Raw genomic sequence first — 12725 nt, 5'->3', positions numbered from 1 at the left:
GGCACCATGGCTCATGCCTGTAATCCCAACACTTTGGGGAGGCCAAGGCAGGACAATTGCTTGAGGCCAGGAATTTGAAACCAACCTAGGCAACATAGTGAGACTCCATCTCTACGAAAAAAATTTTTTTCAATTAACTGGTGTAGTGGCATGTGCCTGTAGTCCCAGGTATTCAGGAGGCTGAAGTGGGAGGATTGCTTGAGCCCAGGAGTTCAAGAAGGCAGTGAGCCATGATCATACCACTGCACTCCAGCCCCATCTCTAAAAATAAATAAAATAAAATAAAATAAAATTAAATTAAATTCCGATCATCACAGATTTTTTTTGCATTAATTTTTATTTTATTATTATTAGTTTTTTTGAGATGGAGTCTTGCTCTGCTGCCCAGGCTGGAGTGTGGTGGCACAATCTCGGCTCACTGCAACCTCCACCTCCCCGGCCCAAGCCATTCTCCTGCCTCAGTCACCGGAGTAGCTGGGATTAGAGGCACGCGCCATGCCCGGCTAATTTTTGTATTTTCAGTAGAGACAGGGTTTCACCATGTTGGCCAGGCTGGTCTCAAACTCCTGACCTCAAATGATCTGCCTGCTTTGGCCTTCCAAAGTGCTGGGATTATAGGCTTGAGCCACTGTACCCGGCCTGCATTAATTTTGATTCTTTTAAAATATTACCTTAAAATGTTACTTATCTTGATGCCAGCATTTTTGGCATTCCCTTAGATTCTAGATTCCAGGTGAAAATTCATCCTCTTGCACACAGGCAGAATTAAAGGTGCCTCCTCTTCCTCCCTCTAAAGAAGCTTATAACCCCTAACCCCACCATGGCCTGTGCAGCAGCTGCCTCAGTCATGGGTCATTCTCATCCTCTGCCTTCAGCCTGTGAGCATCTCCAGGGAAGGCAGTTAGCTCTCACTCAGCTCAGAATCGCCCCTGGGGCAGCTGGACCACAGCCCTGGCCAAACCCCCGAACCCCACAGGCCTTACCCTGGTGGTCGATGAGGAGGATGGCAGTGAAGTAGTGGGCCAGGGCCGCATAGTGGTGGGCCTTCACGCAGGCCAAGCTGGCCCAGGAGTAGGGGATGTTCTCTTTCACCAGCACCTGGCTCATGGCTGCGTGCAGCTGTCGGCAGACCTCTCCCACCTGAAATAGAAGGGGCATTGGGAAGGGGCAGCCCGGCACAAGGGCCCTCATGAACCCATTTGCAGAGAAAGAGCCCTTTCTTCTTCTCATGCAACAGCCCCTGCCAGGGGCTGCTCCAGAATCTGGGAGCAACTCCAAGCAACCCCCCGTTCTGTCATTGTCACAGTTAACAGGGGGATCAGGCTGCTGTCATTATGCTGGTTTTTAGGTTAAGCTGCAGATGGAATCAGTGATCCGTATCTGAAACACCAACACTTGCCAAGAAAACTCAAGCCAGCAGTACTGGCCGGAGCTGGCACAATGCCCAGGTCACAGGCAAGCTCCTGTGGGAAGGCCCCATTACTTCCAGTGCTCCTGTGCCAGCATTTCCTGCCCACCCCCCAAAGTCACAGGAACCAGGGAGTCTTACCTTGGCAGCCTCCTGAGCCACCTTCACCAGCATGAAGAATTCATTCCAGATCCCAGGAAGGCTGATTTTCTCAAACACGCTTTCTTGGGTTTGTGCAAGCATCATTTTGACAAGCACGCTGAGCATGGCAGGGATCATATCGTAACTTGGATTATGGGTAAATGTCTCTTTCAGGTAGTTTAAAACCCCTAAAAGTGGAAAATGTTTTGCCCATTAGTTCGGGTTTATATTTACTTCATCACGTTGCTGTAGAGAAAGATAGGAGGCCAGGTGTGGTGGCTCATGCCCATAATCCCAACACATTGGGAGGTCAAAGTGAGCAGATCACTTGCGTCAGGAATTTAAGACCAGCGTGGGCAACATGGTGAAACCCTGTCTCTACAAAAAATACAAAAATTAGCTGGGTGTGATGGCGTGCACCTATAGTCTCAGCTCCTCTGGAGGCTGAGGCAGGAGGATTGCTTGAGCCCAGGAGGCAGAGGTTGCAGTGAGCTGAGATCTCACCACTGCACTCCAGCCTGGGTGACAGAGCAAGACTCCGTCTCAAAAAAAAAAAAAAAAAAAAAAGGAAAGATAGGAGGAAAAAAAAAGAACCGGTGTCCTACAACATATTAAAAAGTTTGATTCTCAATTATATGGTCCAGCAATTCCACTCCTATGATATATATCCCCAAACAATTGAAAGTGGGGGCTTAAGTGATACTTGAACACCCGTGTTAATAGCAACATTATTTACAAGAGCTGAAAAGTGGAAACCACCCAGACATCCGTGAGCAGATGAATGATTAAACACAATGTGGCCTATCCATACAATGGAGTATTTTTCAGCCTTAAAAAGGAATGAAATTCTGACACATGGTACAGTGTAAATAAGGGCATTATGCTAAGTGAAACAAGCCAGTCACAAAAGGACCAATATTGTAGGATTCCATTTAGATAAGGTACCCAGAATAGTCAAATTCACAGAAACAGAAAGGAGAACAGAGGTTAGCTGGGGCTGGGAAAGGGGGCAATGGGAAGTTATTGCTTAACTGAGTACAGAGCTTTGCTTATCCATCATCCAGATGAAAAAGTTCTGGAGATAGCTGGGCACAGGGGCTGCTGCCTGTAATCCCAGCTACGAGGGAGGCTGAGGTGGGAGGGTTGCTTGATATTAAGAGTTCAAGACCAGCCTGGGCAACATACTGAGACCCCTGTCTCTTAAAAAATATATACTTTTTAAAAATGTATTTATTTTATTTATTTTTGAGACAAGATCACACTCTGTTGCCCAGACTGGAGTGCAGTGGCATGATCATGACGCACTGCAGCCTTAAACTCCTGGGCTCAAGCAGTCCTCCCACCTCAGTCTCCTGAAGAGCTGGGACTACAGACATGCACTACCCCACACCCAGCTAATTTTAAAATTTTTTGTACAGATGGGGTGTGCCTATGTTGCCCAGACTGGTCTCCAATTCTTGGATTCAAGTGATCCTCCTGACTCAGCCTCCCAAACTGCTGAGATTACAGGTGTGAGCCACCTTGCCTAACCAACAAAAAATATTTTTAACTTCTGGAGATGTTTAGTGGTAATGGCTGCACAACACTATGAATGTACAAATGCACTTAATGCCATTGAACTACACACTTCAAAATGGTTAAAATGTGCTTCTGGTTGGCAGGATAATTTTAAAATTTTAAAAATTTAAGATAATCATTAAAATGGTAATTTTATGTTGTATTATTTTACTGTAATAAAAAAACTGGTTAAAATAGTACATTTTAGGTTATATATGTATATTTTAACACTATTTATTTATTTATTTATAAATAAATGCCCAGGCTGGAGTGCAGTGGCATGATTTCAGCTCACTGAAACCTCTGCCTCCCAGGTTCAAGCGATCCCCCTGCCTCAGCCCCCCAAGTAGCAGGGATTACAGGTGCTCACCACCACACCCAGCTAATTTTTGTATTTTTACCACAGATGGGGTTTCACCATGTTGGCCAGACTGGTCTTGAACTCCTGACCTCAGGTGATCTGCCTGCCTCGGCCACCCAAAGTGCTGGGGTAACAGGTGTGAGCCACCCCACCTAGCCTTTTAACCCAATTTTTAAAAATTGGATTATCTTCCAAAACACTTACATCTCTATTGAGTAGAGAAACCAGCCTGCTCCCCACAACTCCTGTGTCACCTGGGACAAAATTCCATCATGACAGGTATGGAGATGCAAGCAGAGAGCAGGCACAAGGACTGAGGGGCTCACAGGGGGCCAGGCTCACACATAAGATCTGAGTCATTCAGCAGTCCAGGGCTTTTCCCCTGGACCTCAAGAAAGATCTGTTCTGGCCAGGCACGGTGGCTCATGCCTCTAATCCCAGCACTTTGGGAGGCCAAGGCGGGTGGTTCACCTGAGGTCAGGTTCGAGACCAGCCTGGCCAACATGACAAAACCCTGCCTCTACTAAAATTATAAAAATTAGCCAGGCATGATGGTACACACCTATAATCCCAGCTACTCAGGAGGCTGAGGTAGGAGAATCACTTGAACCCGGGAAGCGGAGGCTGCAATGAGCCGAGATCTCACCACTGCACTCCAACCTGGGTGATAGAGTGAGATTCCGTCTCAAAAAAAAAAAAAAAAAAAAAAAACTCAATCCGTCTGCTCCAATGGAAATTTTCATGCTGCAGCCTTCCACTGACTTCTTTATAGTTTAGAAAATTAACTGTCCAAAGCGCTAACTGACAATCAATCTGGAACTGAAATAGAGTCTCTCATATGAATCCCAGCCAACTGGGTCCTCTGGTTTTGTTGCTGAGCAAAAAAAAAAAAAAAAAAAAAAAATCCCCGCCCTGCGGAGGGATGGCACCTGCTGTTTTGAGCTGTGAGCTCCGTGGGGGTTCCCTCACACTCCCCACTGTTCTCCCACTTGCTTCATTTCATCTATAATTTGTCTCCATTGCTATAATCTCAGAGACAGGACACAGAGTGCCTGCCTAAGATTCCCCAGAAAGATGAGTCCAGAAAAAAGATTTACAACAAAAGAAATCAACTCATACTTGGAATCTTAGCATATCACTTCATCCTAAGAGAACAATCTTTCATTTTTTTAATTAATTAATTATTTTTTGAGACAGGTTCTTGCTCTGTCGCCCAGGCTGGAGTGCAATGGCACGATCTTGGCTTACCACAACCTTGGGTGATCCTTCCATCTCAGCCTCCCAAGTAGCTGAGACTACAGGCATGCACCACCAGGCCCAGCTAATTTTTGTACTTTTTGTAGAGATGGAATTTTGCCTTGTTGCCCAGGCTGATCTCAAATTCCTGAGCTCCAGCAATCCACCCACCTCAGCCTCCTAAAGTGCTGGGATTACAGGCATGAGCCACCATGCCTGGCCTATTTCTTTAATTAAAAAAAATTCTTTTTGGCAATCCTAGCTCACTGCAGCCTCAAACTCCTGGGCTTAATTGATCCTCCCGTCTTAGCCTCTGGAGTAGCTGGAACTATGGGTGTACACCACCACGCTTGGCTAATTTTAAATATTCTGTAGAGACAGGGTCTTCCTGTGTGGCCCAGGCTGTTAGGACCAATCATTGTAACATCACAAATTTCACAATGAGTTGAAGTGGCAAAGCTCTGGTTCTTCACAAGCTTGCAGGGCAAAGTGATATCAAACAATGATCCACACGGGTGGAAGGGGATCACACCCCAAAGCAGAATGTCGATGATCAACCTAGAAGGCAACACACTATAGAGCTAGTGTGGAGAACACACTGTGGTCTACACTGTGCCCTGCTCTTGCATCCATCCCCATGCGGAGTCTGACCCAGACACAGGCCCTGCTATGGGGGAGCAAGGCAGAACCCGCAGGCAAGGGTGAGCCATGCCAGGCTCACCCACAGCACTGGGTCTGGTGACCCCGGTCCTCTACAGGTGTAAGCACTAGGCTGCTTTTCTCCTCGACCCCGCACCTTGTTCTCATACTAGGATTACCTGAGGTCAGGAGTTTGAGACCAGCCTGGCCAACAGGGCAAAACCTCATCTCTACTAAAAATACAAAAATTAGCCGGGCATGGTGGCAGGCGCCTGTAATCCCAGCTACTTGGGAGGCTGAGGCAGAAGAGTTGCTTGAACCCAGCAGGCAGAGGTCGTAGTGAGCAGAGATTGTGCCACTGCACTCCAGGCTGGGTGACAAGAGCAAGACTCTATCTCAAAATAAACAAATAAATAAAATAAAATAAAACAACAAAAGACAGTTCCCAGAAGAAGGGAACTGAGCTATGAGACATCCTTTGAATGCATCACTTGACAAAGGGTTGAGAACACCCACCTCATGCTGGAGAAGCTGGCAGAATGCAGGTGACATAAAGGCATGGAGGGGCAGGGTGTGGTGGCTCACCCTGTAATCCCAGCATTTTGGGAGGCTGAGGCAGGCGGAACACCTGAGGTCAGGAATTCGAGACCAGCCTGGCCAGGATGGTGAGACCCCATCTCTACTAAAAATACAAAAATTAGCCGGGCGTGGTGGCGGGTGCCTGTAATCCCAGCATTTTGGGAGGCTGAGGCAGGCAGAACACCTGAGGTCAGGAATTCGAGACCAGCCTGGCCAGGATGGTGAGACCCCATCTCTACTAAAAATACAAAAATTAGCCGGGCGTGGCGGCGGGTGCCTGTAATCCCAGCTACTCAGGAGGCTGAGGCAGGAGAATCACCTGAAACCGGGAGGTTTCAAGCAGTGAGCCAACATTGCGCCACTGCACTCCAGCCTGGGCGACAAGGGCGAAAATCCATCTCATAAATAAATAAATAAATAAATAAAGGCACGGAGAGTAATACGCACAGATAGGGTACACCTAATACAAGAAAAAGAAGCCTACGGTTTCACTATTTGGGAAAAGTTATTCTGCTCTTCATGACAGTGTTGAAAGAAACAGTTATGCACTGCCATCCCAGGGCCACTTGTCTGGAAAAGATCAATCATCAGCCACAGGATTCACCATGTACATCAAGCCATCCCAGACTGAGGTCTGAACCACCGAGCAAGTTTCTTTTTTTTTTTTGAGACGGAGTCTGACTCTGTCACCCAGGCTGGAGTGCAGTGGCGCAATATCCGCTCACTGCAAGCTCCGCCTCCCGGGTTCATGCCATTCTCCTGCCTCAGCCTCCCAAGTAGCTGGGAATACAGGTGCCTGCCACCAGGCCCAGCTAATTTTATGTATTTTTAGTAGAGATGGGGTTTCACCATGTTAGCCAGGATGGTCTCGATCTCCTGACCTTCGTGATCCACCTGCCTCGGCCTCCCAAAGTGCTGGGATTACAGGCATGAGCCACTGCGCCCGGCTGGAGCAAGTTTCTTAATGGGAAGTTACACCAGAGCTGAAGATTGCTCTGGCCCTTGCAGGGGACGACCTGTAGACCCTCTTCAGTGGGGGGGTCACCTGGTGCCTCCAGGCGGGGCCAAGGCTCTGTCCAGTTAGCCCTGGAGGAGACATACCTGCAGCTCTCTGAAAGGCATCTATGGCACTCTGCAGCCCAGCCTGCGTGTGCCGATAGCGCTGGGTCCCAATCTGGGTGTAGAGGACCCCAGTGTTGAACAGGACACTGGCCTTCTCCAGCAGCAGGTTCTGCTGGCTGACCAGAACCCCAGTGAGGGAGTCATACCTATGTGAAAGAAATGCATTTAGGGAATACAGATTACTTGGCTAGTTAATGCTACTTTTGGATGCAAGTGGAAAAATTATTATTATTATTATTATTATTATTATTTTATTTATTTATTTTTGAGATACAGTCTCACTCTGTCACCCAGGCTGGAGTCCAGTGGAGCGATCTCAGCTCACTGCAAGCTCTGCCTCCCAGGTTCATGCCATTCTCCTGCCTCAGCTTCCCAAGTAGCTGGGACTACAGGCACCCGCCACCACGCCCAGCTAATTTTTTTGTATTTTTAGTAGAGACAGGGTTTCACCGTTTTAGCCAGGATGGTCTCGATCTCCTGACCTCGTGATCCGCCCACCTCAGCCTCCCAAAGTGCTGGGATTACAGGCGTGAGCCACTGTGCCTGGCTCTATTATTATTTTTTTAAGAGTCAGGATCTCACTCTGTTGCCCAGGCTGGAGTGCAGTGGTGTGATCATAGCTTACTGCAGCCTCCAACTTTAGGGCTCAATTGATCCTCCCACCTCAGCCTCATGAGAAAGCTGGGATTACAGGTGCATGCCACCATACCTGCCTAATTTTTTTTTTTTAATTTTTGTAGAGATGGGGTCTCACTATGTTACCCAAACTGCTGTTAAACTCCTGGGTTGGCTGGGTGCAGTGGCTCACACCTGTAATCCCAGCACTTTGGGAGGCCAAGGTGGGTGGATCACCTGAGGTCAGGAGTTCGAGACCAGCCTGGCCAACATGGTGAAACCCAGTCTCCACTAAAAATACAAAAATTAGCCAGGCATGGTAGCGGGCACCTGTAATCCCAGCTACTCAGGAGGCTGAGGCGGGAGAACTGCTGGAACCCGAGAGGCGGAGGTTACAGTGAGCCAAGATTGTGCCACTGTGCTCCAGCCTGGGCAACAATAACAACAACAACAAACTCATTTCTTCAATAAAATTCAAGAATGCACATGCACTGAGGCTTTTGTTTCCAAGCAAGATGACAGGACTAATCACACTGACCACCACAGCCACACACAAAAATATCTGATGGGGTAACTTTATAAACACAGCATGGGACATCCAGACAATGGACTATTACTCAGTACTAAAAATGGAGCCTTTTCAAGCAAGCCTTGAAAAGATGCAGAAGAAACATTACCAAGAGCCAACCTGAACATTGCTACCTACCGTATAGCACGCTGTGTGAGTCCAACATTCTGAAAAGCCAAAAACCCTGGAGACAGAAGAAAGATCAGGGGTTGCCAGGACTTAGGGGGAGGGAGGGAGGAACAGGCAGAGCACACGGAGGATTTTTCCAGCAGGGAAACTCTTCTGTACGACACTGCAAAGATGGATCACTGTCACTCTATGTTGGTCAAAAGCCGCAGAATACACAAGTGCAAGAATGAACCCTAATGGGAACTATGGACTCTGGGTGATAATGATGTGTCAGGTAAATTCCTCAATTATTAAAAAAAAAAAAATGCGCTGGGTGCGATGGCTTACACCTGTAATCCCAGCACTTTGGGAGCCCAAGGCAGGCAGATCACAAGGCCAGGGACTGAGACCAGCCTGGCCAACGTGGTGAAACCCCATCTCTACTAAAAATACAAAAATTAGCCAGGCGTGGTGGGGCACACCTGTAATCCCAGCTACTCAGAAAGCTGAGGCAGAAGAATCACTTGAACCCAGGAGGCGGAGGTTGCAGTGAGCCGAGATCACGCCACTGCCCTCCAGCCTGGGCAACAGAGCGAGAATCTGTCTCAAAAAAAAAAAAAAAAAAAAAAGGCCGGGTGCAGTGGCTTACACCTGTAATCCCAGCATTTTAGAGGCCAAGGCAGGTGGCTGGCTTGAGCTCAGGAGTTTGAGACCAGCCTGGGCAACATAGTGAAACCCCTCTCTATCAAAAATACATGGTGGTGGCATGTGCCTTTAAGCCCAGCTACTTGGGAGGCTAAGGTGGGAAGATGGTTTGATACTGGGAGGCAGAGGTTGAAGTGAGCTGAGATCACACCACCACAATCCAGCCTGGGTGACAGAGTGAGACTCCGTCTCAAAAAAAAAAAAAGTGTGTGTGTGTGTGTGTGTGTGTGTGTATGGCTTCTCCTAAATGAAATATGGCAATTACTAACCCCTCATAATTCTTTCTGAAATCTAAAACCTCAGGATTTGTTTTACTTTTTTATTTTTTCAGACCAAGTCTCACTCTGTTGCCTAGGCTGGAGTGCAGTGGCATGATCATGACTCACTGCAGCCTCAACCTCCTGGGCTTAAGTGATCCTCTCATCTGAGCCTCCCAAGTAGATGGGACTACAGGCATGTGCCCCCCATGCCTGGCACATTTTCTCTAATTGTTTTGTAGAGATGGGGTCTCACTGTGTTGCCTAGACTGGTCTCAAACTCCTGGGCTCAAGTGATCCACCCACCTTGGCCTCCCAACATGCTGGGATTCCAGATGTGAACCACCACACCCAGCCTAGGACTTGTTTTATTTATTTATTTATTTTTATTTTTTGAGACAAAGTTTTGCTCTTTCACCCAGGCTGGAGTGCAGTGGCGCCATCTCGGCTCACTGCAGCTTCTGCTTCCGGGGTTCAAGCAATGGTCCTGCCTCAGCCTCCTGAGTAGCTGGGATTACAGGTGCCCGCCACCACACCCAGCTAATTTTTGTATTTTTAGTAGAGACATGTTGGTCAGGCTGGTCTCGAACTCCCAACCTCAGGTGATCCACCCACCTCGGCCTCCCAAAGTGCTAGGATTACAGGTGTGAGCCACCGCACCTGGCCCTAGGACTTGTTTTAAAGTTTACTCATGAACCAAGGGGTGTGCAGACAGCTTCTCCCTAATTCATGACTAAGGAGAAACCACCTTTCACCATGCAGACAGCCTGGTGCATTGTTAGGAAAAGTCATCCCCCTTTCCTTTGCTTTCCATGAAGAAGGCATCAGTAGCCAACCATTGGCTACAGAAACATTCAATTCTGATACGCCCCCACCTTCTAGGATGTATTCTCCTTTCACTGACACTCCTAACGACACTCAGAGAAGGGGTGCAGCATCTCCAAAGTACTTTTTTTTTAGGTTTTTGGTGTTTTTTGTTTTTTGTTTTTTGTTTTTTGATACAGACTCTCACTCTGTCGCCCAGGCTGGAGCTCAGTGGTGCAATCTTGGCTCACTGCAACCTCTGCCTCCCAGGTTCAAGCAATTCTCCTGCCTCAGCTTCCCAAGTAGCTGGGACTACAGGCATGTACAACCATGTCCAGCTAATTTTTGTATTTTTTAGTAGAAGCAGGGTTTCACCATATTGGACAGGCTGGTCTCGAACTCCTGACCTCATGATCCACCTGCCTCGGCCTCCCAAAGTGCTGGGATTACAGGTGTGAACCACCGCACTCAGCCTTTTTTTTTTCTTTTTTGAAACAGGATTTCACTCCTATCACCCAGGCTGCAGTGCGGTGGTGTGATCTCGGCTCACTGCAACCTCTGCCTCCCGGACTCAAGTGATTCTCCTGCCTCAGCCTCATGAGTACCTGGGACTACAGGTGCATACCATCGTACCCAGCAAATTTTTGTATTGTTTGTAGATATGGGTTTTTGCCACGTTGCCCAGGCTGGTCTCAAACTCCTGGGCTCAAGTGATCTGCTTGCCTCAGCCTCCCAAAGTGTTGGCAATATAGGCATGAAAGCCACTGTACCCAGCCCCCCAAGTATTTAAAGTATACTAATCTTTGAAAACACCAACTGGGTCTACGGCCATACCACCCTGACATGCCTGATCTTGTCTGAAAATACCAATTGTGGAGAAGAATCAAATCCTCTACTTCCATTTTTTAAATCTGATCTAAGCTGAGTGTGTAGCTCATGCCTATAGTCCCAGCTACTCAGGAGGCTGAGGCAGAAATATCACCTGAGCCCAGGAATTCAAGACTAGCCTGGGCAACACAGTGAGACCCCGTTTCAAAAGAAACCTGATCTATTTCTGTTTGGTGCTTTTGTCTCACTGGACAAGACCTGATTTTCTCTCTCTCTCTCTCTCTCTCTCTCTCTCTCACTCACTCACACATACACACGCATGCCCCAGTCCAATCTGAGACAAGAATCTTGCTTCTGGCTAATTCCACTTCAGAGCCCTGTGCTTCCCCAGTGATACAACAAGCAAGAAAAATGTCTCCTCTCCTTGGCTCACTTGTTCTGAGAAGCAAGAGGCCACAGTCTGTTGGGGCCATCTCCCTCGGATCACCTTCATAAATAAATACCAATGTATTGACACCTTTCTAGACTTCCCTGGATAAATGCAAGATAGGAAAGGGGGCTGAGGTGCACAGGGGTGCACCCCGGAAAAATGCAAGATAGGAAAAGGGGCTGAGGTGCCCACAGAGGGGCGTCTGTGATGCTGAGGCTCCAAAACTGTGGCTGCCATAACACGTGAAGCGCCAGCGCAGACCTCCAGCACCTACCAGGTGAACAGGAATCCCATCTGCCATGTGGGTGGGAATAATCGATTCTCAACAAAGCCCAGCTGGATGAAGTATGTCATCAGCAGTTCCACCCTGGCCTCATCCCGGCTGGGCGTCCGACAAGCCTGCGAGGAAAAGAACCCCAGAGGGCATGAGCAGAGGAGGACACAGCTGACAGCCCTTCCCGGAAGGTGCCCTGCACATACCAGCAGATGCCTGTAACTATTTCTGCAGTATGACGACCTCACTGCTGGCATCATCAACTCTAGGAGGGGTGGAAAGAACCTGGGAGGAAGTCAGAAATCCTGGAATCCAGTCCCAGCCCTGCCAGGAGGCAGGTCTCTCCCCTTCTATGGTTTTCCTTTTTTTTTTTTTTTTTAGACGGAGTCTCACTCTGTCACCCAAGCTGGAGTGCAGTGGTGCGATCTTGGCTCACTGTAACTTCCACCTACCAGGTTCAAGTGATTCTCCTGCCTCAGCCTCCCTAGTAGCTGGGATTACAGGCGTGTAGCACCATGCCTGGCTTGTTTTTGTATTTTTAGTAGAAACGGGGTTTTGCGGTGTTAGCCAGTCTGGTCTGAAACTTCTGATCTCAGGTGATCCACCCGCTTCAGCCTCCCAAAGTGCTGGAATTACCAGCATGCACCACCACGCCCAGCTAATTTTTGAATTTTTAGTAGAGACGGGGTTTCACCATGTTGGCCAGGATGGTCTGGAACGCCTGATCTCAGGTGATTCTCCCGCCTCCGCCTCCCAAAGTGCTGGGATTACATAGGCGTGAACCACCGCACCCGGCCTCCTTCTACAGTTTTCTTATGCAGCAAATGGAATGGATGATTCCAGCACCCCCCAGCCATCACCTCAATCTGCCCATGATTCTGTTAAGACCACAAGCGTGCAATAATGGGGTTCCCTGAAAACTTGGAAAAGCTACCCTCCCCTCTCTGCTGCACACAAAAACTTACTTGTCTCAGATCCATAAGATCTGTGATTTCATCTTCATATAAATAGCCATCTTCACTGTAATGTTCCAGGATAAAATCCTTAAAGAAAAGTGAGGTTAGATACTATAAAATGTGATTGAAAACCATGT

General features: G+C 48.0%; 1 pseudogene; it reads right to left on the bottom strand.

Moving 5' to 3' along the window:
* LOC647211 (rhophilin-2-like) overlaps window positions 1-12725 on the bottom strand; it is a 51164-nt pseudogene that overhangs the window by 22341 nt on the left and 16098 nt on the right.

This window comes from Homo sapiens (assembly GCF_000001405.40).
Source record: "Homo sapiens chromosome 16 unlocalized genomic scaffold, GRCh38.p14 Primary Assembly HSCHR16_RANDOM_CTG1".
In the NCBI taxonomy this organism is placed as follows: domain Eukaryota; kingdom Metazoa; phylum Chordata; class Mammalia; order Primates; family Hominidae; genus Homo; species Homo sapiens.
The sequence above is the reverse complement of the archived record's forward strand: the minus strand, read 5'-3'. Positions and strand labels throughout refer to the sequence as shown.